Below are 27983 nucleotides of genomic sequence, written 5' to 3' on the forward strand. Positions count from 1 at the left end.
GACTGTTTTGTGGACCCCATTGGACTGTGCGGTCCCAGGACTCCCACGCCATGGGTGCTGCCTGGTGCCTGACCTTGCAGGGACCTGCTTGAGGCATTGCCTGTGGCTGGTGGACAGGACAGGCCACCAAACACTCAGTGAGGGTTGGGGACTTCTGCTGAGTGGGAGCAAATGGCAGGAACAGTCAGCATTTCCCAAAATCCCCGTGGGCGGTTTGGCACCCACCCAGGCCCAGCCCAGGTTTATTTGGTGATAAGATTTGGTTTTGTTTTTTCCCAAGCCCCAAGGGCGTGTGCCACCCAGAGCCCTGGCCTGGATTATCTGTTGCTCAGTGGCAGCCTGGAGCTGTGCCTCGCAGTGGGGCTGTGCAGGGCATGGGGTGCTCTTATTCATCCTGACCCTCTTCTTTACAGGGATGGTGATGAAGGACCCCAGAAGCGCTGCCTGTACACCCCCAACCAGGCTCCAGTGGGTGCCACTTGTCCCGGCCTGAAGTCACAGCCTCCAGATGCTGCCTCCCTCTGCCAATTCCTATACCTGCTGGGGTGGACACTGAGGGCCAGTCCCAGACTTGGGAGCAGGGTGGGAGTGGGATGGGGGGTGGTGCGTAGGGAGGACCTCTATGTGGCCCTGATTGTTGGCTCAGTTTCCTCTGCCTGGGGGATGGGTTGAGATGTCCCCTGGTTGTGACAGAACAGAGGCTGCAGGTTCTCAGCCCCTGCAATCCCCACCCTGCATTTGGAACATTCTGTCCTGGCTCCTGAGTCTGAAGAAGGTGCAAAATGTGTGGTTTGGAACTCCTATTGAATCTGAGCGTGGCTCTGCCTCTTGCAGACTCAGAATCTTTTCCATTCTAGCTTCAGTGTGTCTGAGACTCATTGTTTGCTAAGGATTGATTCCATGAATGAGTGACCTGCCCTCAGTGGGGCCCATCCTTGATCGTAGGCTCTGTTGTTGCTGTCTTGAAACTCAATAATGTCTGAACAAGAGACCCGGATCTCCATTTTGCACCGGGTTCTGTAAATTATGTAGCCAGTCTCAGTTCACTTTTAGTTGTCTGCCCTTTAGTATCTTTTTCATATCGAACCACGTAGATGTATTTTTAAAAATATAAAATCTAAGTCGCACAAAAGATAAAAACAAAGAAGGACACATTTATTATTTGTTGTGCACCTTTAGAAATGGTCCACAGGTCCACTGCAGTGCACAAGCTGCTGCATGCACACCGCACGTGACAATCCAGTCTGCCTGACTCCCAGGACAGCCTGTGTGATATGCAAAATGCCATTCCCATGAGGGCGCATCATGTTTCCCAGGAGCTCTGAAGGACACAGATAGAGCTTGTGCTCTAGGCTGCCCCCCTGTTCCCGTGCTGGCTCCATGCTGGTGTCCAGAATGAGCCAGTTCACACTCCAGTGCCACGTGGGGGGAGAAGTGGCTCCCAAACTCCCCTGCTGACCTCCCCCCGGCCCCTAGGTGTACCTTCCAAGTCAGATGACAGTCATAGGCTAACATCCCCAGCTTTGCCTGGAACTCAGGAAAGGATACTTACGGGTAGACAGAAAGATTCTGCAGTGGGCATGGACTTGGCCATTGAAGACCCTGAGAGGACATCTTGTCCACCCTCTCCAGGCTAGGCCCTGTCTGTGCTGCCTGGAGCCAGAAGAAAAAGATTCCAGCCTTGGAATCTGCAGGGAGGGAGACTCCTTGCAGTGAGCTTTCTTGCATTTCATTCTAGTATTTGCCACAGATGCTGATTTCTTGCCTGAGTCATATATATTGAAGTTTTTGCTCATTTCTTACTAGGCTTAAGAAATTGGAATTCTCTGCCTTACAAATCCCAAAGGGCTAAACATGCCTCCAAGCCCATGAACAAGCTTTGAGCATCTGAAGGACAAAACCCCAGCTCCTAAAACCTTCATGAGCATCCACTTTCTGCTCAGCCTGGAAGAGAAGGAGCACTGCTGCCCTCTGGTGGTCAGGCAGCAGAGCATCTAGGAGCCACCCAAGGGAGCTGGGTCCCCTTTGCTTTGTCTTTGGGACAGCAGCTTTGAGTATTAGGTCAATGGATGTCCTTTCACTGTTCCTGGAACATGGCAAGCTTGTTTTTGCCTCAGGGCTTTGGGTCTTGATGCTCCCTCTCCCTGGAATGTTCTTTCTCCAGCTCTCAGGTGACAGCTGCTTTCTCATTCTCTAGCCCTCAGACCAAATGCCACCTCCTCAGGGAAGCCCTCCTGGACCACTTCATCTAAAATAGCAACTCATCCCACCCCCTGTCACTCTATCCCATTACCCTGTTTCCCTTTGTTTATAGCACTTACCTGCTATTTGGAAATATCTGTCTAGAGTCTGCGTCTCTCCCTCACCAGATGTCGGCTCCAGGAGGGCAGAGTCCCTGTGTTTTGTTTGTCACTGGACTTCAATGCATCGTACATAGTAGATACGCAAAAATAAACTTGTCAAAGAAGTAAATAAATGCATATTGACAACAGCTACTGGATTTAAGCACAGCTTCTGGTCCTCAAAACCACACTGTGATACAGGGGGCAAGGCACATCTCACCCCCACAGGACAGATAAACAAATTGAGACTCAGAGATTTATGTGAGTTGCCTGAGCACCCAGCAAGGAGGAATGAGCCATGGTCCCTTGTGGCTTCTCCTGTGCTCCCTCAGTCTTCTACCCTGGAGGGAGCAGAGGGGGTCTCAGGCACGACAGCTTCTGCCAGGAGCTGAGGCGGGCCCAGCATGTGGGGTCCAGACCTTTACTCCTTAGTCTGCTCGTTGAAGGAGGCTGAGCTGTGCCATTGTCCAAAGCTTTGCTTGTGGCTGAGGGGTGTGAGGTGGGAGCGGGTGAGGAAGGTCTGTCCACAGGAGGATGTAACCAGACTCCAATCAGTGGCCGGTCTGCGGAGATGTGTGTTCTGGAGCGGGAGTGTTTGAGGGGTGGATGGGTGGGGAAAGCTGGAGCCACTGCGGAAACGGTGACTTCTGCAGGACCAGGGTTTGGCTCTGACATTCCGGGCTTCATCCAGACGCTCTCACTATACTCAGCCTGAGCCAGGGGCTGCCCTCTGACTCTGGGCCCAGCACCAGGGTCAAGGGCTCTGCCGCAGAGCTTAGGCCCCCTGCACTGTGCTTGGGCAGGCAGTGGGGCTGGAGGGGGATGGTCACCTGTTCTCAAGCCTGGGGTGACCAGGCTCGGGGCAGGCTCTGTTTCTGGGCTTCCAGAGCAGGCGTCTGGAGGTCAGCAGCATCTGCTCCTTGACTGGTCTGGCGAGAGCTTGATGGATTCTGTGAGGTGATTTTCTAAGATGCTCTGGTACTGGGGAAGGAAAGAGAGGCCGGCATTCATGTCCTGAGATACAGAGTGCACCGCCCGCCCTTCATTTCTTAGTGGGCCTCAGAGCCTGGGCTCTTGTTTCCTCCCCATTATACTTCTGGGAAACTGAGGCCCAGACAGGGAAGCCACTGGTGTTCCCCACCCTCCTTCTTCCCTGTGTCTCCCCTCCAGCCTCTTCCCAGGAGCCCAGAGCAGGTCAGTGTCTGAATTAGCGGCCCAAGTCTCCTGACCTCCAGCCATGTCCTATAACTTTCCATTCTCCAGAGGGGACAGCTGAGGTGTCATTTGGGCTTAGGCAGAGAGGTGACGGCCACTCCTCATTTCTCCTGGAGACCTCTTCCTGCAAATATCCCAATACCCCCAACCTCCTTTTCATCCTGTCCACCTCTCAGCCTCCCCTACTCATGCCTAGAAAAGCCCAGTCGGTCCTCTGTCCTGGCCACATCCAGGCAGCCCTCCCTAAAATGGACTCAATGTTTCTCCCGGGCCCTTTTGCTTCTCCAGTCTCTCTTGTCCCAACAAGGGTCCAGAGGAAGCCCCTTCTCGGTCTGCCAAGCTTCTGCCTTTCCAGCTGGCTCCACTTCTCACCAAGAGCCTGCCCCCCCTCCCCAGTTCAGGGGTTGGGGTGGTATGGAGGAGGGGGCCCTTCTTTAAGCAGATGGGTTCCTCAGGCTGAAGACTTTCTTCTTCAAGGGATCCCATCTCTTCACGCTGCTATGGCCTCTGCTAGTCACAGAGCTCAATCGCGTTCATGTTCCTCCCACAGCCAGTACTGTGGGCCTCGGGGTGAGTGATGAGCATTCACTCTACGTGGAAGGGGTTTGTGCTACATTGGCATGGACCTGAGCAGGGGCAGAGCATCCTGTGTATCACGCAAAATTGTCCCTGGCAGTCCATCTCAAGTGTCCTTCTCAGGGGGCAACTTCCAGGGACAGGGGTGCTGCCTCCTTGTCTCTGATTTTATCTCCCCGGCAGTTCCCAGGCTCAGGCCAGACACCCAGCTGGTGAATATCCACCAAATCCTTAATGCTCATGACCCTAGACCTCAGGAGGTGGTGTCCAGCCTTGCCTCCTGCACCTTGATGATGGTGGTGCCCCCAAATACATAAGAAGATCCTCTGACACCCCATCACTCACTGCCACCCCCAGACTGAGCAGTAATGTACCCCGATGGCACAGAGCTTGTGGTGCTGAACCTGGGTCCAGCCCTTCGTCACGGAGTTGGTTTCTTGGGGATCCCCCATCTCTCACCCCCCACCCTGGTAGGATCTTGGGACTAGCAGAGTGAGCACCATCTGGGGTAGGTGTGAGAAATGTCCTCATTTGTTGCATGGGCAAAGCCTGAGGTTTTCATGCTAGTGTTGCCCTAATGACATCTGCACCCTCCCCGGGTGCAAGTCATCGCTGAGCTCTTTCCGTTAATGACATCATTTTCACTTGACAATGGCAGCATCTTGTTCCTCAGATTTCCTGCAAAACCTCCAGGCCATAATTAGGTTTCTATGTCATTCTGTTCTCCAGGCCCCAGGCCTCTTGACAACTTGTGAATCTAACTGTACAAGTAATACAACACTATTCCAATGCTTGCAGCATTTCAGTGGGGGTGTGACTGTGGGAGTCTGTCTCTGTTCCCCCAGTCTGGCCACCTCAGTGGCCTTGCCTTAAGTCCTGCATCCTGAGGACCATGTAAAGCTGCTGTGATTCACTGAGCAGCTGCCAGCCAGCCCACTTCCCTCCACTGGATGTGGTGATTCTGTCTTTTTCCAATTAACCCCAAAAGAACTGGGCCTCTAGGCAATATCTCATGCTACTGGAGCTGGGCCTGAAAAGCCCCAGCAGGGATGGTATTGCTAATTTTTCCTTCCCCTCCCCCTCCCTCCCCTTCCCCTCCCCCTTTCCCTCCCCTTTCCTCCCCTTCCCCTCCCCCTTCCCCTTCACCTCCTCCGCTTCCCCTTCCCCTTTCTTCCTTTCTTTGACAGGGTCTCACTCCTGTGGCCCAGGCTGGAGTGCAGTGGCACAATCATGGCTCACCATGGCCTGACTTCCTGGGCTCAGGTGATCCTCCCACCTTAGCCTCCCAAGTAGCTGGGACTACAGGCATGTGCCACCATGCCCACCTAGTTTTTTATATTTTTAGTAGAGATGGGGTTTCACCCAGGCTGGTCTGGAACTCATGGGCTCAAACAATCCATCTGCCTTGCCGGATGTAATCCCAAAATGCTGGGATTACAGGTGTGAGCCACCATGCCCAGCCAGCATTGCTAACTTTCTGGAGCAAAACCTCACCACCCCATATCTTCCAAAGCTGGTGGATATCTCTTCTTTAATTATTAGGGCATCCTTCGTCATATTTTGGAACAACTAAATACCTAATCCTTGAATGTGGCTAAATTGGTTACTAAAGTAATCTACCTTTCCTTTCAGAATGTTAACTGAACACCTACTCTGTTCTCTTTCAGAATGTTAACTGAACACCTACTCTGGTCTCTTTCAGATAATTAACTGAACACCTACTCTGATTTCTTTCACAATGTTAACTGAACACCTACTGTGATTTCTTTCACAATGTTAACTGAACACCTACTCTGGTTTCTTTCACAATGTTAACTGAACTCCTACTGTGGTCTCTTTCAGAATGTTAACTGAACACCTACTCTGGTTTCTTTCACAATGTTAACTGAACACCTACTGTGGTCTCTTTCAGAATATTAACTGAACACCTACTCTGGTTTCTTTCACAATGTTAACTGAACACCTACTGTGATTTCCTTCACAATGTTAACTGAACACCTACTCTGGTTTCTTTCAGAATGTTAGCTGAACACCTACTGTGGTCTCCTTCAGAATGTTAACTGAACACCTACTCTGGTTTCTTTCACAATGTTAACTGAACTCCTACTGTGGTCTCTTTCAGAATATTAACTGAACACCTACTCTGATTTCTTTCACAATGTTAATTGAAAACCTACTGTGATTTCCTTCACAATGTTAACCGAACACCTACTCTGGTTTCTTTCAGAATGTTAGCTGAACACCTACTCTGGTTTCTTTCACAATGTTAACACCTACTCCGGTCTCTTTCAGTATGTTAACTGAACACCTACTCTGCTCTCAGCAGGTGCCTCACATATTGCTCTCTTTACTACAAGGCTCACTTGCAGAACTCAGACGTTTCCACCTGGTGTCTCGAGGATCCTTGAATGCAATGTGCTCACATGGACGTCATTATCCCTTTCTCTCATGAAGCTCCTGCTTTCTCCTTTGTTCCCCGTATTGCTTGGCTCATGGAATCACTAATCCATTGTCCCTTCATTTGCCAAGCTAGAAACCTGGTCATCAGCCTAAACTGCTCCTGTTCCTTTCTCCCTGCATTTGATCATCATCAGCTCCTGATGTTTCTACCTCCAAAGTCTCTTTAATTCACCCTCACCTTGCCAGCTCTATCCTCTCACACCTGGACTATTGCAGTAGCCTCTTCATCATCACCCATGGCGCTCATCCTCTCGGCAGCACGAAGCTCCCTTGCTGAAAACCCTATGATGCAGCTCCATTTTAAAACAGCATGTAATGCCCTCTCTGCACTACAATAGCATTTTATTTAACCCTCACAGTAACCTCATAGGGAAGATATTATTATCTGTACTTTAAAGTTAGGGAAGTGGTGGCTTAGAGAGGCTTCATGACTTGCTCAGGGACACACAATGAGAGGTAGAGCTGAGTATAAAGCCAGATCGTTCCGACTTCAGAGGCCCAGCTCTTTCCACCCCAGCTGGGGGCTCACTCCTTATTATAGAAGCGCCTCCCACATTCTCCTCTCAAAACACCCTGGGCTGGAGCAAATGAGCCCACAATCTCCCTGGGAAGGAAGGCAAGTTCCTTATAGGAAATGCCTCTGAAAACTTTTCTTTGACCTCAAAATCTGTATTTGTAAACTTCTGTTTCATCTTAAGAATTGATGTGAATTTTACATTCTATGCCCTAGTTAAGTGTGTTTGTTTTTATGTGAACGTTTCTCCTGCAAATTTCTAAGTAACAAAGACACTGCAGAAAGTTGTGCCCTGTTGGGTTTCAAGGTCCTGGGTGAGCTCCTGAGCACCTCGGGCAGCCTAGCAGCACCATCTGGAAGGCGTGGGCCTGTGGTATGGCATCTGCACTCCTAGTCGGGGTTCACGAGGCCTTGGTGGCCTTGCTGGCTTCATCACTAACTATGTCCCCGTGCTCTGACATTCCTCCACGCCAGGTGTCTTCTTGCCAACATGACCTACAGTAGGTGTCTCCTATAAGCCCCAGGAACTCATGCCTGGGTCTCTGGCCTTGGCCTTCTCTCTGCCCTTCTTCCCCTCCGGCTTACACCCACCATGGCCTACCATCTCCACCTGCAAACTGTGAATTACCTTCCAAACTTTCTGACATGTCACTTCTCCCAGCAGGCATCCTCACTCATCCTCACTACCAGCTGTCTGGGAGTCACCTTGTCATCTTAATCACACCCCCCACAGCACTCATGTCACTCCGGGACAGTCACTTATGGATGTCTCACTCTACTGACCTCAAGTGCTCTGAGGGCTGTGTCTCCAGCTCTAGCCTGACAACTCAATGGATATTTATGGACTCAAATTATTTTCATTTTATAGAGAGGAAATGGAAGCTCAGAATAGTCATATGTCTTGCCAAGGGGTCCACTTGAGAGAACCAGGGGAGGATTCAAATCCAGGCCAGTCTGATCACAGGTACCACACCTGTGACCTCCAGACTTCTGATCAGTGCACATGCCCCATAAACATGGGGGACCGACATGGATTGCTACCCATTTATTCTTTTGCCAAGAAAGGGTGTTATAAAAAAAATGCAAGCAGACAAGCCACTGTCTACTAACAGCACCATGTCATAACAGCGACACAGTCAGAAGGACCTGATTTAACCACAATATAGTAGGAAGGACACCATTTGAAGAATAAAGGATACTCCTTCCCCAGATAGGACAGGTGCTAAGCATGCACAGACACGGGCTGTGGGCTGATGGACACTTCCTGGTGACTAAGCATTTGGCAGTCGCTGCACTGTGCTTGTGGAGGATTATTGATCAATATCACCACCAAGGTCAAACAGCATTCCTCAGCACTCCAGGAGGACAGCAAGAGCAGGCACGCCTGTGCTTCAGGAGCCAACTACACCGCCCATGTAATAAAGCCACACTTCTTGACCAAGCACTAAGAGAGGGACACCTCTCTGCTTTTCCTTTCCCGAGACAGTGAGGGCTGGAGGAGAAGCAGAACAAGAGCCAGTGAGGGTCGGGGGAACCCTAAGATCAGGGCTGTGAGGCCTGAGGATGCCTAGCTGGGCTCTTCTCCCTGAGCAGCCGCTAGAGGTAGCTGCTGCCTCTTTCTCTCTGGGACAACCCCTCGCTGGGGCCTGGAGCACTTCTTTCCAGAGCAGCTGCAGAGGGCATCCCATGAGGGCGGCGGATGCTTCCACATAAGGGAAGCTTCCAGTCCCCCACCCTCATTTGCCCATTTCCTCAATTCAGAACCATTGCTGCGATGATCCTTTCCCCTCTCCTAAAAGGCCCATGTTGATGAGATGTGGCAGAATGATGACACAAGCTGAGCCCCTCCCCATGCCAATCCCAGGGCTTCCAAACTCCACATCAGACTGACGTTAAAACCACGCCACTGCTTCCAGGCAGCCTTCCATGGTCTTCCCCACCTCCTTGCAGAATTCAGACTTTTCTACCTGGTGTCTCAAGGAACCTTGAACGCAATGTGCTTACATGAATGTCATTGCCCCTTTCTGTCATGAAGCCCCTGCTTTCTCCTTTTTTCCCTGTCTTGCTTGGCTCATGGAATCACTAATCCATTGTCCCTTCATTTGCAAAGCTGGAAACCTGGCCATCAACCTAAACTGCTCCCTTCTCCCACTCCCTTCTTCCCTCTCCCTCCTCCCTGCCTCCTCCCAGCCCCCTCTCCTTCCCTGCAGCATGGGCTGTCTGTGAGCCCCTCCTCTAGACCCTACCCCTAAGTCCTGCCCCACCAGACCACACTGTATTGCAATCACTTAGGGGCCTATCTGCCTGCCTCTTGAGACAGAGGGTCCTGAGGCCTGTACAGTGCCTGCCACACACTCAACACATTCTTGCCGAACCTTCGTACCTAGGGGTCTACGTCTATTCATCTTTTTGATTGGGAGATGTCAGCAACTCGTACAGGTTTGATATTTCACTTGGGTGAATGCCTGGCACCTCCCACCAATGAAGATTGGACTAGACCATCACTTCTCAAACCCTTCCTCGTTAGGATCTCCAGGGCTCAGGTACAGGACTGGAGTTTTTAGATACTCCACGAGGGATTTGGTTAGTTAGCTGGATTGACAGACCACTGACTGCATGCTCTAAGGTAGCTTTCTACCTCTGGCATTCTGTGGTTCCAGAGCTGGAGTGCTGTTAAACCCATTCCATAACTAATTAACTGAGACGATGAGCAATCCTGTCCCACCCACATCCCTGCCCACACCCAAGATGTTCTTCTCTGGAAGCTCCCGAGACCCTCCCCAATCCAGGGGCGGTCTCAGCAGGTCCTGCCGCCACAGCCACTCACCCTCGACAGAGCCCTACTGGCCAGCATCTCAAACGCTTGCACCACATTGATGTCATTCTTGGCACTGACTTCAAAGTAAGGAATATCTTTCTCTCTACACCAGCCTTGAGCTACTTCCTGGGGTACCTGAATGAGGGAAAGAAATAGGCGTGGTGTCTGTATTATCATCGCCATCACCACCATTGCCACCATCACATCCCCACCATCCCCATCAGGCCCACCATCCCCACCATCCCCATCATCCCCACCAGGCCCACCATCCCCACCAGGCCCACCAGGCCCACCATCCCCACCAGGCCCACCACCACTCCCATTTATTGAGAACCTCCCAAGTGTCTCTAACTTTACATATAAATGTAGGAGGTGGGAACTGTTAGCTCCATTTCACAGATGAAAAAACGGAGGCCTGGAGAAAAAAAACTTGCCCAGAGTATGTGAGGCTGAGCAGGATTTGAACACAGGCCTGGCGGAATTACAGCCCACTGCACTTTGTTGCCTTCCTAAGGCCTAAACTAAGAGCTTCTGCCAACATTGCCTCTTTTGTCAGTCCCTTCAAAGAGAGCTGCACATGAGAGACACCAGCCAGGAATGGCAGGAAGGGAGGACTTTCTTCCCCAGCCCAGCTAAGCAGGCTCACACTCAGGAGGCCTGTTGCTGGGCAGAGACTCGGGTCTCAGCTGACCTTGCTTCCCCAGGGCAGGGTCCTAGGAACAATTAATAAGCTCCTACTATGGGCCAGTTGCTGTGTTAGTCACTTTATCATATATGAACTCATCTCATCCTCTCCATGACCCTGTGAGATAGGCATTATCAGTTCCACTTTATAGACAAAAACACTGAGGTTCAGAGAGGTTCAGCAACTTGCCCCAGATCACATAGCTGAGAGAAGGCAGAGCTTGGATGTAGCCCCAGCTCAGTGCTCCCCCTGGCATCTGAGCTGCCCTCTACAGGGCACTGCATAAGAACCATGCCTCTCCTTTTCTGTCTCCCTTCGGGAGCTCAGGGTCAGGAGCTCAGCTCCTGGTCTGGCACACATGAGCCACCAGGCACAGGCTGAATGACTACATCTCCACCCAAGTGCAAACGGCGTTCAATTTGTGATGTTGGCTTGGAAATGCTCTGGAAGCCCTCTGGGTTACTTCCAAAGACAATTGGTACCCCTGAGTTTGATGTCTAATTATTTGGGGAAGGGGAAATGACCACATACTGAGCATTTGCTGAGCCTGGTACTTTATAATCATTATTTCAGTTTATTTAGGGGAGCCAAGGTCTTTCTCATGGAGAAAGGACCATTCCACCCCTCTCCCAGAACACAGTGCAGGCCGAGGCAAATCAAACACTGCCCCTGTTTAATTGTCTCTGTGGCTCCTGCAGGTCCTGGGAATGTCTGTCTTACTGGGATAAAAAGTCCCAGCTGATCTCAGCAGACCCTTTCCTCTGACTTACCATGACCAGATCTACCCAAGTGCCCGGTTATGACAGACTTTTTAATCTCATTTTTCCCTGCTCTCTGTTTGGTTTGGAATGATTGCATACAGACTCTGAAATATCATTGTGATTATGTTGCAAATTAACATTCTTTTTATATCTCCCCCTCCTCCCCACCCCAACCTCAGAAAGCTGGCCTGGGAAGAAAGCTACCCAGACAGTATTTTTCACTTTTCTCTTCCAATCCCAGAGACAGTTTCATGATTTTTAAAATTGTCTCATCTTTTGTTTATAAAATGAAAATTATTTATAACTTAGGCTCTGACTCTGAAAATAAGCTCAGGGTGTGATAGTTGGGGACATGGGAAGTATGATAATTCTGAAAGTGTTACTTGCATTAATGTTGCTTTTGGTCAACAATATACTACTGACATTTCACTTTTCTGGTTGCAATTTTACTTGTTCATTGGAGGCCAAACATTTGACAAAATTAGTCCAGTTGGCATCATTTTATTTATGATGCTTTTCCATCTCATGTGCTTTTAAAATAATCAATTATACAAGTGCTAAAATTAGTATTACTAACGTTAATTACTAAACCATTAAACCATCACTAAGAATAACAAAGGATATTTTTAGAAAACATGATCTTAAGTCTACGGAATCACTGGCAAATCAGAAATTACCCACCTGAGCACAGAGCAAATAATTCATGCCCCAGTGAATAAATTCCTTGTAGCATAGATGCCAGCAAAGCTATTCTTTCTAATAAACTATTTTTTTTCAATATTACCTTCTGTAGAAGGAACAGGGATTTTTTTTTAAACTAAATCAGTAATTTCTTTAAAATTATTCTGGCTATATATGCCTGTTTTTACTGTGGTAAATATACCTAATAAAATTTACCATTTTTAAATTAAACACTTTTTAAAAAAATTTTTGTTTTGTTTTGTTTTTGGAGAGATGGGGGTCTCACTATGCTGCCCAGGTTGGTCTTGAACTCCTGACCTCAAGTGATTCTCCCACCTCAGCCTCCCATAGTGCTGGGATTACAGATAAAATGTACCTGGCTCATTGTAACCATTTTTAAGCATACAGTTCATGGGCATTCGGTACATTCATATTGTATTCACATTGTACATTCCTTGCTATTCATCTTCAGAATTTTCTCACCTTCCTAAACTAGCAATATATATTATAAATATGTGTGTATATATATGTATGTATATGTGTGTATATATGATGTATGTATGTGTGTGTGGGTTTTTTTTTTTTTTTTCTTTTAGTGTCTTGCTCTGTCGCCCAGGCTGGAGCACAGTGGTGTGATCTTGGCTCACTGCAGCCTCTCCCTCCCGTGTTCAAGCGATCCTCCCAGCTCAGCCTTCCGAGTAGTTCAGACTACAGGTGTGCCACCACACCTGGCTAATTAAAAAAAATTTTTTTCTTTTGTAGAGATGGGGTCTTGACATGTTGCCCAGGATGGTCTCGAACTCCTGGGCTCAAGCTATCCCCCGACTTTGGTCTCCCAAGGTGTTGGGATTACAGGCGTGAGCCACTGGGCCAAACTGCAGTACATTTTTATATACTCATTTTCTTCTTATTAGGTAGGAGAAGCTGCTGTATTTTCCCAGCTGTCCCTTGGAGATAATAATAAGGAGGATCATTTCCTTGTTCCATTATTTCCATTATGGAAATCACATCCTTCCTATTATTACTCAGTCTCAGGAAGTCTGTGTTCTGGTCTCCGCCCCGCAGAGGAGGGAACCGGTCCAGGCTGCGGAGGCACATGGACCAGGTGGGCGGCTGTGAGTCCACATCTGCGGGACGGGCTCCGAGGAGAAGGCGCCTCACAAGAACGTACCTCTTGGCTCCCCTTCTCCATGTCCACACCCGGCCAGGGGCAGGCAGAGCCCTTGCTAGGTCTGTGCAGAGTAAGGACATTTGAGGGCCGGCACTTCCCAGCCTCCCCTCTTGGGGCTTTATAATCCCAGGTCTCAGAATTAAAGCCCTTCTGCTCTCTCCCACACACCTCATCCTCTCCACGTCCTGTCCTGATTTCACTGTCGCTCAGTGCCTCCTCCCCTCCCCTATCCTATTCCACCTCCCTACAAACCCCTTCCCTGGGCCTACCTTGTTGAGAGACAGGCTCCCCTCTCCTCCATCCTCTCCTCCATCCTCTCCTCACCCCTCCTCCATCCTCTCCAGGGACCTCCCTGTCTGGCTGAACCCTGGCTTTTCCTAGAGTCACGCTTCCCCAGCGCCCCCTCTTGCCTTCCCCACTGGGGCTATTTGCAGACTTTACTCACCACAGATCCCAGAGAGGGGGCTGGCTTGCCTGGTGCCTCATTGCCTCTTTCAAACCTTTGTTCTTCCTCTCTCTGGACACCAAAGATCACCCACCCTGGGGCTTGGATTGGACCCCCTCTACTCCCGCGAGTCACCACCCGCCCTCCTCACCTTGCCAGGTGCCCCTCATTCACTAAACACTTGCCATCTGGTGAGGCCTCCTAACCCCTCTATACGCAGCCGCCACCTCTCATGGTAGCCTCAGAAATCCTTTGCTGCCCTCAATCTCTCCATGTCAGCCTCTTCCTCTCAGGGCCTCTGTAAAATAAGAAACCTGGTCTCCTGTGCCCCGATCTCCTTTCCCTCAACCCCCTCAGGCCCTTCCTCCTGCTGCCCTGTTCCCCAGCCTCCGCCACCCCAGCCCTGGCCCTTCTGCCTCCCCTGGTCCCTCTTCTTTCCTTCGTGGTTTCTTGGTGCCCTCGCAGCTCTGTCCTTCATCTTCTCTTGGTTGGAAAAGCCCTAGTCCAAGTTCCTTGCTCCTGGCTGGTACCCTACGGAGACCCCACCTCAAACTCCCAGTCTCCTCCTTCAGCGGAGTCCTTGGTGTCACCCATCAGAACTTGTCCTTGTCCCCAAGTAGCTCCTCCTCCCACTTCTCCCAAGAGTAACTGGCAAAGCTTCCTCATGTTTCTTAAGCCTCGTATTGGTTTCCTCCCTCTCAACAGAAGATGGCACCACTTATTTCACTGACTCTCGGTCTTGAACTCCCCCAGCTTCCCTCCCCACACCCTACAGACATGAAACAAGATGGAAGTTAAAATGAAAGTTTTGGCAGAGGCGCAACAACTGGACAGATGTCAGATATAAAGCAGGTGGAGACAGTCTACCCTGGATACATATTCCCAAAGGCTCATGATCAAGACTCTCTTGGATGACTCTAAATCCCACAGCGTGGATATAAAGCGCTTGAAAATGAGGATTAGGAGGGATTTCCTTGGAGAGAGTTGTGTTGTGGGCACAACTACCCTTGCCTCTCCCAAGAGGAGGAACAGTTAAGGACTCATCTCTAGCTAAAAGATGGTATTGAGGAGAGTCGTTAATGTACAACCCCTGGAGTTTGGTGGACATGGTGGACTGGTGTCTGACACACACCTGAGGTATCTGAGGCAACAGTCAACGGGGCAGAGAGAGAAGAGGCTGCACTGGGCACCAGCTACCCTTGTCCCCCAGTGGAGCCAGAATGCATGAGTGTGCCTTGTGAAGGACATGTGGATTCAACAGAGAGAGAGAGAGAGAGCAACAGGCTGGGGCTGGCTAAATCCCACTTAAAGACTGCTTGGAGGAAAAGGTGACCCCCATGGGGTGGGGATGCTGAAAGCCAGGGGTTGAGGAGGAGAATGCAAGACCCTTGTCATGGGAGGTACAGCGAAATGTTCCCAGTGGAGGCTTCCGAAGGACCCACAGGAGTGACCCACAGAAGAAAGGGCTTGCAACACCTCTCAGGCCAGAGAGTGCAAGACTGTCTTTTTCTTTCTTTCTTTTTTTTTTTTTTGAGATGAAGTCTCGCATTGTTGCCCAGGCTGGAGTGCAGTGGTGCGATCGCGGCTCACTGCAACTTCCGCCTCCCAGGTTCAAGCGATTCTCCTGCCTCATCCTCCTGAGTAGCTGGGATTACAGATGCCCACCACCACGTATTTTTAGTAGAGGCGGGGTTTCACCATGTTGGCCAGTCTGGTCTCGAACTCCAGACCTCATGATTCGCCTGCCTCTGCCTCCCAAAGTGCTGGGATTACAGGCGTGAGCCACTGTGCCCGGCCAAGACTGTCTTATGATAGTACAAGCCAAATTAGAATTGCTCTGCTCTCCTGACCTCTTCTCCCTCTTCCTGCTTCACTCCTGACAGGGTCTGAAACCAGAATTACTATCCCAGATAAGAGGAGGAAGTGTGGACCTCAAGGTTGGCAGTGAGATTCTAAGGACCTATTCCCTCTCTTAGACCACAAGGTTCTCACCCACAGCTGGTCCCAGTGGGGGAAAAAATGGAGACACCTTGCCTTTGAATGAACTTAGGACTTTGCTTATTATCTGAGGCTGGATATTTGTAATTAGAGAATTGACATGGAGTTTACAACCTGAAGTGACCACAGAACCGATGACTCGTAGATCTCTATTTCCAGCACAGACTTCTCCTTTGAAATTTCATTCTTACGCATTCCAAAGCCTGCTGGCCATTTCCAACTAGCTGTACAAGCTCCTCAAACTCGCCATGTCCAAACCAAAAATGTGTCTTTATGAACCAGAGGCTCTCTTCTGTAGATGTTAGCTCAGTTGGAAGCACCATCCCTCTCTCCCTTTCTCCTTCCATAAACACACTTTATCATGCCAAATGATGCCTCATTTCCATTGCTTTTCTCTATTTGAACCATTGTGAAAATGCAATTCAGACATGATGATCCAGTTCCCCATCACACTAAAAAGAGAAACTTGGTTTAAACAGCTCTTTTTGGTGGCATCTGGACTTTTGGCCCAAGAGCATCTTTTACAAATTCAGTCTACCGTATTCTTTCCTCATTAGTAGGCAAGGATTAGAAGTGCTGTCTTCTCAATGCCGTGTAATGGTAAACGCCTACACAAGTGGGGTCACTGTAGTCATGGAGCAGACCAACTGTCAAGTGGTTAACCCGATGGTCCGGAATATGCTTAAGCTAATACAAAAATTATTACTTCCCCAGAAAACTTGTATATCCAAGAATTTATAACTGCAGACCTCCAACTTGACCCCAGGCAGAAATGCTGTGCCACAGATTAATTCAAATTCCACTGTGACCTCCCTCCTGCCTACATCTGATGCCTTAACTCCTCCTTTCCCTGTCTCTGGACAAAATTACCTTTAGTTCTCAGCTTATATCATGCTGTTTATTCAGCCCAGAACCCAGCTCTTCCAGCAAACCTGTCCTATATTCTAGGCTTGGGTAGATGCCTCTCTATTGTGGTTCCTTAATGCCCAAGGTATATCTCTATTATTTCATTTACCGTATTGTACCATAATTACCATTTTATTTTATAATTACCTTTTAAAATGTCTGTATCTACTACTAGACTGTGAAATTCCTGAAGTAAGGACTATGCCTGATTCAGCTCTGTATGTGTGGGACCTAACACTGTGCCTGGCACATAGTGGGTGCTCATATAATGTTTGTTGAATGAATAAATGAACGAACAGTACCTTCCGGTCTGCCAGATCGATCTTGTTCCCCAACAACACCATGGGGTAGGACTGCTCCATGGGGACAATCTTGGCCAGGACATCACCCCGCCAGATATCCAGGGCTTCAAAAGACTCCAGGTCGGTGACATCAAAAGCTAGGATGCAGCCATCGGAGCCCTTGTAGAACGTGGACACCATGGAGCGGAACCGCTCCTGACCGCCCGTGTCCCAGATCTGGAGGGGAAAGCAGTTGCCCCATGGGGCTGTGATGAATGGCTGGAAGGAGGCCCAGCTGGATTACATCATGTCAAGGCTTCTTTTGCTGGGTAGGGAGCAGCAGGCCCTGGTACAGGTGCATATGGTTCTTTCACACCGTGGCACGTTGACCCTCCCACCCACATACACTCCAGCACCTTTGTGGTAACATTTAACATCCTGAGAGTAATTTCACATCTGAGCTCTCATTTTTCCTCTGGGTCATCAAGGTGGCAATTGTTATTCCCATCTGACAGATATGGAAACTTGGACCTCGGGAATGTCTTGCCTAAGATCACCTGCCAGGTTTTCCAGAGAACCTGAGACTAGGCGTGGGGTCTCTCAACTCCTGGATTAATGTCCTTCCTTCTAGATCAGGCATCAGCATTTTTTTTTCTATAAATAACAGATAGTAAATATTTTAGGCTTTGCAGGTCATTCTGTCTCTATATGCCAATTATTACTCAACTCTGCCATTGTACTGCATAACTTGATAAGCTAACCAATGGTTATGGCTGTGCCCCAGTGAAGTCTTATTTACAAAAATAGGAGGTGGATCAGATTTGGCCCATGAGCTGAAGTTTGCTCATCTCTGCTCTAGACCATTCTAGCTCTGGTTCACATTGCTACATGAGTGGCTGTCCGGGCTTGGGGGGGATTTTCAGTGTATGTATGTTGAAGAGGGAAAAGGAGGGCTGCTCACCTGTAACTTCAAAGTTGTGTCACCCAATATGATAATCTTGGAGAGGATGCTGGCCCCCAGTGTGGTCTGGTATTCCTCATAAAACGTCTTGTGCACATATTGGTGAAGGAGGGAGGTCTTTCCCACACTGAGGAAAATTCCAGACACATGTGAACACACACATGCAAACACACATGCACATGCTTCCCTACCATTCTCAGAATCTTCCCAGGCCCCTCTTGCCACTGTCTCTCCCTGAGATTCTGAATTTCAAATTTCTGTGGTCCATGGACCACACTTTGAATAGCAAGGGAGTAGGAAATGGTTTCTAGAAGTAGAAGCCAATCAAAGTGAGCAGAGTAGTCTGGAGACGGTGGAATATCTCACAGTGGTGGTCAGGTTTTTTCTGTGTGTGTAGGACATGGGAGGACAGATAGATGCTAAATGGCTTGCCTAATTCACACAGCTGGTTACTGCAGAGTCACTGCAGATCTAGGACTGGAAACCATCTGTTTACATGCAGCTTCTTTGTCCCAACTAAGCTTCTTTTCTGGGGATGGGATACAGTTGCTGGTGTCACCCTGAATCAGAAAGGGACCTATGGGAGATGGGAACACATCAGGAGGTCTCACTGTCCTTGGGTGAGGGGCTGCTTCCCAACTCCCAGAGCTGAGCTTGGCTTACCCAATGGCTCCGACGATAATGAGTTTCAGGTCCACCTTCTTCCGGGGATTCATGGAAGGGCTTCAGAGCCTGTAAGGAAACAGAGGTCATCCACATGCTAGCCAATGTTCCTTGTGGCCATTGTCACTGAGTGTGGCCTCTGCTTTCCCCTTTCCAATGGGCAAGTTACTGCCCTGGGCCCGGGACTGGGTGGGGTTCTCCGAAGGAGGCACGTAATTCAGCAATCTTCATATATCTTCTCCCTCACTTTCCCTGGGGGCCTCCCCAAAGCTGGAAGGGTGGTGACTCTCCAGGACAGGCAAATCTCTCATCCCTCAGCTCTACCAACCCTGCTCTTGGAGGCAGCCTGGAGTGCCAAGAAGGCAGGACAGGATTAAACAGAGGCCTCGCAGACAGCCCAGCCTGGAGCCAGGGATGGAGGGGCATGCAGGAAGAAGAGATGGGGGTGGGCAGGACAAGGGTTCCATTGTCACGACTGCCCAGAGGCTTTGGATGGAAGAGTGCCCCTCCCCCAGCCCGAGGTCTAGCTGCAACTGCAGAATCAAAAGGCTCCTCTCTAATGCAGCTGGCGGGGGTGTAATTCATACATGTTTCTGGAAAGCTATTGGCAGCAAGTGTTGAGAGCCTTAAAAATGTTCCTGCCCTCCACTTCTAGGAATTTGTCCTAAAGAAATTATCCGAAATGTGGGTAAAGACTCTTGTCCAAGAATGTTCTTCACTGTACTGTTTATAAACATCCAACACTAAAGCAGTGGTTAAATCATAGCACACAATGAATTATTAAGCAGTCATTAAATGGAGTTTTTGAGAATATTACAATAATATGGGAAAATGCTCATGCCCTAGGATCTAAATAGGATCCTAGGATCCCTTAAGATCTAAATAGAAAACAGAAGATGGTACATTCTCAGCAAACTATTGCAAGGAACAAAAACCAAACACTGCATGTTCTCACTCATAGATCGTAATTGAACAGTGAGAACACTTGGACACAGGAAGGGGAACATCACACACCGGGGCCTGTCACGGGGTGGGGGCAGGGGGTGGGATAGCATTAGGAGATATACCTAATGTAAATGATGAGTTAATGGGTGCAGCACAACAACATGGTGCATGTGTACATATGTAATAAACCTGCATGTTGTGCACATGTACCCTAGAACTTAAAGTATAATAATAACTTAAAAAAAAACAACAGAAGATGGTAAACTGTACACACAATACCACCCAACACTTAAATGAGTTCCCACTTGTATAGAAAAACGCCTGGAAGGAAATATATTAAAAATTCCAGCAATTCCACTACAGGATATATAGACAAAGGAAATGAAATCAGTATGTTGAAGAGATGTCTACACTCCCAGGTTCACTGCAGCTTTGTTCACAGTAGCCAAGATATGGAATCAACCTAAGTGTCCATCAATGGATGAATGGGTAAAGAAAATCGGTACATGTACACAACGGATACTGTTCAGCTTTAAAAAAAAACTTACAATTTATGACAACATGGGTAAACCTGGAGGACCTTATGTTAAGTGAAATAACCCAGGCAAAGAGACAAATACCATATGATCTCACTTATATGTGGAATCTAAAAAAATTGAACTCGTAGAAGTAGAGAATAGAATGGTGGTTACCAGGAGCTGGGCTGGGTGGGCAGTTGGGGAGATGTTAGAGGATAAAAAATTTCAGTTAGCTAGGAGTAAATTCAAGAGATATATTATACAGCATGGTGACTATAGTTAACAACAATGTATTGTATTCTTGAAAATTCCTAATAGAGTTTATATTAAGTGTTCTCACTACTAAAAAATAAGCATGTGAGGTAATGCAGATGTTAATTACCTCAATTTAGCCATTCCACAATGTGTGCATATTTCAAAACAACAGGTTGTACATGGTAAGTGTGTACAATTTTTATCTGTCAATTAAAAAATGTAAGTTATTCTGGTTGGTAGGAAATTACATTATTTTAATTTTTTTCTCTATGCTTTTTAATACATTCTTTTTTTTTTTTACAATAAATATGTCTTGTTCCTATAAGAGAAATGTAAATGTATAGTGTGTGTGTGTGTGTGTGTGTGTGTGTGTGTGTGTGTGTTTAACAAGGTAAAGCAAAACTGTTGTAGGATACATGCTTAACTGGCCCTTTGTTTCACCCATATATGCACATATGCATATGCACTATCCCCAATTCCTGGTTCTTTTGTCTTTGGATGCACTAAGCATGCTGAGTAAACCTTGACTTGACTCTGCTCAGATGAGGTGTCAAAAGTTGGTCAGCTTGTGTTTCCCCTGCTACTTGGAAAAAGCTGTAAATAGGACATCCTGAGGCCTTGGTTCTGGTTCTCACTTTGTGACCTTGGGCCAGTTACTTCCCCTCTCTGAGTCTTGGCTTTCCAACTGGAGAATGAGCCAGCTGAGCCCCAAAGACTCAAGATGCCTTCTTGGTGAAAAATGCTTTATCTGCTGGAGCTGGACCTCATTGGCCATGAGAGCTGTGCTTGGGACACAAAGTTAAAATGGGAAGCCCCCAGAGATTTAGGATTGTTAGTGTCCCCTTCATGAACCATGTCATGGACTGTATTCATCTGTTCTCATGCTATAAAGAACTGCCTGAGACTGGGTAATTTATGAAGGAAAGAGGTTTAATTGGTTCCGCATGGCTGGGGAGGCCTCAGGAAACTTACAGTCATGGGTGGATGGGGAAGTAAACACATCCTTCTTTACATGGCAGCAGGGGAGAGAAGTGTAGAGCAAAGTGAGGAAAAGCCCCTTATAAAACCATCAGATCTTCTGAGAACTCACTCACTATTATAAGAACAGCATGGGGAAACCACTCCCATGATCTAATCACCTCCCACAAGGTCTCTTCCCCAACACATGGGAATTACAATTCAGATTACAATTCAAGATGAGATTTTGGGTGGGGACACAGCCAAACCATATCATAGACCAAAGGCGATTTGAAGCTCTACTCAGAGCTGTTTGTCCTAGGACCTGGAGTTGGTGGCACTGGAACTTCTGCTCTAACCCAGGAATGCTGGGTTGGCATGGTGAGAAATGGGTCTTCTTGATGGTTCACACGTTCATGCAGCAAATGCCTACATGCCTACCACATGCAAAGCCTTGCACTAGACACTGGGAACAGCACAGAGATGGAGCAAATAGGAACCCACCACACGGAGTCACCAAGGAAGAAAGGACAGTGGCTGAGTGATGACACCAGAGAGAAAGTACACAGCACCGCAGGAGAGGCACAGGGAAAGTGCTTGAGAATTCAGCAGAACTAGGTCCTGAAGAAATGAAGCATGTGGTTGGGGAGGGAATGAAATAACCAAAGCCTTGGGAAGAGATGAATGGGGAAAGTGGGCGATTTGCTTCAGGGAAGGGTGAGGTGAAAGGTGTAAAGGGAGGAAAGGCTGGAAAGGAAGCAAGATTAAGACGGGCTGTAAATATCTGACCAAAGATCCTGGCACTGACTCATTCATTCATTCATTCATTCACTCAGCAAACATTTCCTATATTCCAACAAAGAAGGCAATTCAAGGCTTGAACCTGGGCTGGCATTTTGTAATGGATGCTGCTGTCCACGAGGGAAATCAGCCAAGAGAGAAATGGTTCAGAAACCCCTGAAAAAGCATGGCTCTCGAAGTATTTGTTATCACTTTGGAAGGGTCCTAGGAGCAAAGGGAAGCTGTTTCCTAAAGGCATTGATACAACGTGCTAACTTAGCTTTAAAAAGCAACACAATGCCTTAGAAAGAGAGTCAGAACCAAAGGCAGGCAGGAAGAAGCGGGAGAAGAGGCAGCACTGGCTGAGCCCCTGCAGTGGGCTGTGCTAAGTATTCTACCGAGGGCAGGCCATCTTCACTATTACCCTCTGAGACAAGTACAACCAAGCTCCAAGAAGCTGAGTAATCACAACTCACCCAAGCCTGCACAGGGAGTAAATGGAAGAGCTAGTGTTTGAATCAAAGGCTGAGAAGGCAGGCTGGGTGCCGTGTCTCAAGCCTGTAATCCCAGCACTTTGGGAGGCCAAGGTGGGCGGATCATGAGGTCAGGAGTTCGAGACCAGCCTGGTCAACATGGTGAAACCCCATCTCTATTAAAAATACAAAAAAATGAGCCAGGCTTGTTGGCTCACACCTGTAATCCCAGCTACTTAGGAGGCTGAGGCAGGAGAATCACTTGAACCCGGGAGGCAGAGGTTGCAGTGAGCCGAGATCATGCCACTGCCCTCCAGCTTGGGTGACAGAGCAAGACTCGGTCTCAAACAAACAAATAAACAAACAAAAAATGCTGAGAAGGCTTTCCTGTGTCATGCCTCCTAATCACCAGAGTTTGAACCCATGGAATCTGTGTGCACAGGAATCTAGGGCACTGGGCTCAGATTTGGTGAATTTCAACAAAACCCTAGGAGAGTTGGAGGAGGCAGAGAAAGGCTGCCAAAGTGGCAGAGAGATACAGTGGGGGTGGAGAGAACTGGAGCTGCCCAACAGGAGCTATGTGTGAGGACTGGCCACAGGGTCAGAGACGCGGCATGCTAGGCAGAGGGCAATGCTTTCACACGCTGTCACACGACCATGCAGCAGGGCTGGAGTACGTCTCACGTTACAAGCTAACATTTGTTTGGTGGGCACTGTGCTGAGGGCTTTGTGAATACACAAATACACAATAGCATTGTCAGGGGTAAACAATACGTTATTATAATACATTGAACACATAGAATACAATATTCATAGCATATTGTGATACATTTACTGGCACAAATTAAGGACTCAAGAAATGCTAGCTATTTTATTGCACACAAAGATAGCCTGTGAGATTGATACTATTATTATCTGTTTTACCATTGAAGAAACAGATGTTTAGAGCAGTTAAGCAGTTCAGCCTTAAAGACAGAAAGCCCGCACGTGTTAGAGCAGGGTTTGAAGCTGGGATTGGAGTCCAGGCCTAACCCCAGAGCCAGCTCTCTTAACTACTGGGTTCTACTGTCTGTAAAACTAGAATGAGACTCACACGCCTTGCTCCATAGTGCCCCTGTTAGAGAGCTCAGGGGCTGGATGGGTGAGGGTTTGATGCAGGGAGGCCAGCGGCGTGCTTAGGAAGGGAAAGCTGGGGCAGGACGAGGAAGGTAGAAGGTGTGTGTGAGACATATAACAGGTCGCTATGCACAATGTGTAAGGCACTCATACAGATAATAAAAGGCAACACACCTATCAAAAATGGGCAAAGAACGTGAACAAGTTACCAATTGAAATCTTATAAAGAATTAGTAAGCTTTGAAAAGATACTCAACCTTACTAACTATCAAGGAAATTAACATTTCAAAATACCATTTATTTTCACCCAGTAGAGTGGCAAAATTTTAAAAAGATTGACAACAATATTTAGGGTTGGCAAGTGTGTTAGGGAAACACTCTTATATATTGTTGATAGAGTATGAATTAGCACAGTCTTTTTGGAAGGTAATTGGACAATATCAAAACGTAATATGCACACAGCCTAGGTTCTCATTCTAGGAATCTGTCCTACAGAAATACTCATGCATATGCTCAAACACATATTTGTACAGATGATTACTAAAGCATTGGGGTAATCTAACTGTCCATCAATATGACACTCTCTACATCAATTCTGATCCATTAATACTCTGGAACAATTAGCTGTTTTATTATTTATTTATTTATCTGTCTATTTAGAGACAGGGCCTCATTCTTTTGCCCAGGCTGGAGTGCAGTGGCATGATCATAGCTCCCTGCCACCTCAAATTCCTGGGCTGAAGTGATCCTCCCCCCTCAACCTCCCAGGTAGCTGGGACTACAGGTGTATGCCACCATGCCAGGCAGATTTTTTATTTTTCATTTTTTGTAGAGACAGGATCATGCTTTGTAGCCCCAGTTGGTATCAAACTCCTGGCTTCAAGTGATCCTCCCACCTAGGCCTCTCAAAATGTTGGCATTACAGGTGTGAGCCACCACGCCTGGCCAAGGGCAGTTTTAAAAAGATGAAATAATGAAGTGGGAAGCTACACGTGATGGCTTTAAGTAAGAAAAAAGAAAATCACTGAACGTTTTATATAGTGTGATAAGAAAGCTAAGGGGAGATATACACTAAATGATTCATAAGAGGGATGGGAAAGGTAGATTAGAGGCTAAGAGCTATCATTTTATGTTATATATGTTTTGTTTTAAAATTTGTTACACAAGCCTAAGTTGTTTTGTAATTTAAGAATATCAAATAATCACTTAACATTTCTTTAAAAAGATGTGTGGATGGCAGCCCAAAGCAATTTGAGCGTGATTTTCAGATAGGACAAATTACTTCTGTGAGCAAGAGAGTGAGGATGTCTGGTGCCATGGAGTGATCATGAGTTTGGGACTCAGAATTCTCATCCTGGCTCCACACATTTGTGGCCTTGGATGGGTTACTGAACCTTGGGGCGTCTGTTCCCTCATGGGTAAAATGGACATCACTCGTGGCTGTGGCTTCCTCTGCAGGTGACATGTGTCATGATCTTATAACACAGCACTGGTCCCCAAGTTGGGAAGGATCCAGATAATTGTTTACCAGCTGGGAGAGGGGGTGAGTCTAGAGGCCAGGGCCCTGGTTGGTCATGCTTGCCACTTCCTATGGTGTAAACACTTCCACCATGGCTGACTTCAAGCTACCAGCGTGGAGCCTGCTCCAGCACACTCCTGCAAGGACTTCAAAGGTCATTTATGCCAAGCACCACCCTGTGCTTGAGTCATCTCTTCCACATCCATGAAAGGTAGAGCCAGACCTGCCCCATGGAGCTGCCTCCCGCTCCTAGGAGTATTTCTCCTGAGGGCCACACAAAAAGTGCTCAAGATCCTGGTAAGTTACCTCGGCCTTAACTTTGGGCTCCCACATTCCACCCCCTCCCTGGTTCCTTTCCCCTAGATGCTCACTCAGGGTGTGCTGCTACTGCAGGTTCCCCTACCCTATCCTAGAAGGGCAGGAGTTTGCTGAGGCTGCTATTTTATAAGAGCCCAGTCCTTGGGCCCAGCCTCACTAGGAGCAACAAAGAGTGACTGGGACCAGGTCCGTGGGAAGTGGGGGCGGTTTGTGGGGTGACGCAGCCTGGCTCACCTAGGAGGCACACGCAGATCTCATACAGTGGTTGGAGTCCCTTTCCATGTCATCTCTGCTGGGCTTTGGCAGTAGCCGTCTTTTTTTTTTTTTAGAATTGAAGTTTTTTATTAGAAACTTTTTAACTATGAATTCAATTTTTAAAGAAGCGTAGGACTATACAGCTTATCTATTTCTTTTTGAGATAACTTTGGTAATGTGTATCATTAAGGAATTTTTCTATTTCATCTCAGCTGTGAAATGTATAGGAATAAGTTGTTCATAATATTTCCATTTTATCCTTTATCTGTAAAAAGTGTAGTGTTGTCACTAAGCCTCATTCCACCCACTCAGCTGACTCAGATGCTTCAAACCAAGGAATCCTCCTAGAGGCTAGGCTGAGTCATCCTCTACTGTTAAGTAACAGTGAAAAGCAGGATTGAAATGCAGGACTCTGCCTTCAGCCAGCCCCGGTCCACACAGAGCAGAACTTGCGGTGACTGACTCCCCACTGGAGGTCCCCAGCTCTTTCCCCTTCTTGTCTGGCAGCACTTCTAAGCCTGGAGTCCTGGTCCTGCCCATTTGCCAAAGCTACAGTGTAGCTCAGCCCCTGTGGAGTAAGAAGGACTGAGCTGTTGCCAAGCCCCAGTGCCTGGCACCAGCCCTCCAAGAACGCTGGAACCCCCTTCCCTCTCATTTCTCACTTCCTTTCTCTCCTTACCCCGCTGGCTCCAACCTGAAACCAGGTACAATCTTCTGTCGCATCTGCATTGGGTGGGGTATCACTTCTGCTGACAGGAGACGAGTGAGCAGGGGCAGGTAAGGATTCTGAAGCAGACAGAGTCTCCCGCCCCCATCATACTATCTTTCCAGGCTCTTGTCCACTTTCAGCACCTCCCCTCCTGATCCCATACCTTGGAAAAGGACAAATATATCCACCCTAAAAAATAATGGGACCTACAATCTTGGAAGCAAAATTTGTCTGTGAAAAGAGGCTATGTAGAGAGCACAAGGCTTTGTTGCCTCCCAGTAATGTTCACAATTCCGCCTTACCCACCTCAACCCTAGCAGGTCTAGACCTGCTCCCTCTGGGAAGTGTACCTACAGCCCTGGTTTCAGGAGGCTTGGCGCTCTTGTTCTTTAGGTTATTTGAGGATCTTGTCTCCTTGAGTAGACTGTCCATGCCTGAAGGGCAGGGCTGTGCCTCACACCTCTCTGTATCCCACTAAAGAGCCTGACCAATGCTGGGATTCTAGAGGTTTCCATGAACAGCCATCCATCCACTCATCCATCCATCTGTTCATCTGTCTGGCACAGGCAGTGCATGCTTACTAAGCCCCAGCACTGTGTAGGTCTAAAGATACAGACAAGTTACTATCTCCGTGGGACCTTTGTGGTGGGAGATTGATCTGTAAGCCCAAAGAAATTATTTGTATTAATACATAATACCTAGCAATTATAGAGCACTTGCAGTTTACAAAATGCCACTGAAGCCCAATGGATACCTGGGTCAAGAACTGGGTATAGAACCCAGATCCGTCCGACTCTATTCATTGGCTCCCCTGGCATTGCAGCACTGGGCAAGGAGAAATATTTATGATTTAGAACAGGAGTGATAATTTCCTACTCCAGGGGCCAAGCTTCCCCTGATGAGACCCTTAGGCCAACACAATTCCATCCCAGAAGGCACTCTGTCAATGTCACAAGGGGACTCTGGGTGCCAGCAGGGTTTTGCCCTCATGCAGGGCTCTAGTTTCTGGCAGGTCCTGCAGGTTTGAGGCAGCAGCGCCATCCTCTCCTGACTGGGCCAGCAGCTGCGTCCTGGGACTGATGGCCTTTGTGGGTCTCCGAGCTGGGCCTCAGCTCTTCGCACAGGCAGGGAAGTCTTTTCTTGCTGCCACACCCTGGGAGCTTCTCCAGGGTGGGGTCTTAGGGCTGGATTTAAACTCTGCAGCTGCCAGATTGGAAATCTCATCCTTGCATTCCCTGCCTCCACTCCTCCACCCAAATACCCAAATAACTCCCAGGGCTGCAGGGGCAGACAGAAGCACTGAGACAAGCTCCCGGGGCACTTACAGCTGTGGCTGTGCAGCACTCGGCCTCCGCTCTGAGGGCAGCTGGGAGTCCTCTCTCAGTCTGGTGGTCTCTTCTTAGAGCAGTGGTCTCAGCAGGGCCAGGGAAGAGGCTCTGGGACAAAGACAGGCAAAAGAAAGTCTGTTGAAGCCACGCCACTTCCCTCTGAGTTTTCCTCCTCTCCCTCTCGTGCACAGACTTGGGAAAGTTGCAAAAGAGGCTGGGCCGGGTGACCTCAGCTGTGTGGGTGGAGGGGGTGGAGTGGAATGGAAAAGCTAGGCTCCAGAGCTGACTGGATTTGGGCCCTTCAAGAATTTCATTTATAGGAACCGTGGCCCA

The 27983-nt window shown here is 48.3% G+C and overlaps 1 protein-coding gene and 1 long non-coding RNA gene across 6 annotated transcripts in view; one reads left to right on the forward strand and one right to left on the reverse strand.

Annotated features, from left to right (window-relative positions):
• SLC26A9-AS1 (SLC26A9 and RAB7B antisense RNA 1) overlaps positions 1-2490 on the forward strand; it is a 43183-nt gene extending 40693 nt beyond the window's left edge. For both annotated transcript variants that reach the window (NR_110984.1, NR_110983.1), the window contains exon 4: positions 414-2490. This is a non-coding gene — a long non-coding RNA (SLC26A9 and RAB7B antisense RNA 1). The remainder of the gene's footprint in view (positions 1-413) is intronic.
• On the reverse strand, positions 1135-27790 carry RAB7B (RAB7B, member RAS oncogene family). Of its 4 annotated transcripts, none has more exons than NM_001164522.3 (6): positions 27648-27790; positions 18478-18546; positions 17815-17941; positions 16875-17090; positions 9935-10060; positions 1135-3323 (listed from the first exon to the last, which is right to left on the reverse strand). In NM_001164522.3, the coding sequence occupies exons 2-6, from the start codon at positions 18528-18530 to the stop codon at positions 3246-3248; spliced, it is 600 nt and encodes a 199-aa protein (NP_001157994.1). In that variant the 5' UTR covers positions 18531-18546; positions 27648-27790; the 3' UTR covers positions 1135-3245. The 4 variants fall into 4 exon arrangements, with proteins under 4 accessions (NP_001157994.1, NP_001291768.1, NP_796377.3 ...); XM_006711288.5 differs by lacking the exon at positions 1135-3323 and adding an exon at positions 8138-8599; NM_001304839.2 differs by lacking the exon at positions 9935-10060.
• Between the last annotated feature and the right edge of the window lie 193 nt (positions 27791-27983).

Source organism: Homo sapiens, chromosome 1, assembly GCF_000001405.40.
Source record: "Homo sapiens chromosome 1, GRCh38.p14 Primary Assembly".
NCBI lineage: Eukaryota > Metazoa > Chordata > Mammalia > Primates > Hominidae > Homo > Homo sapiens.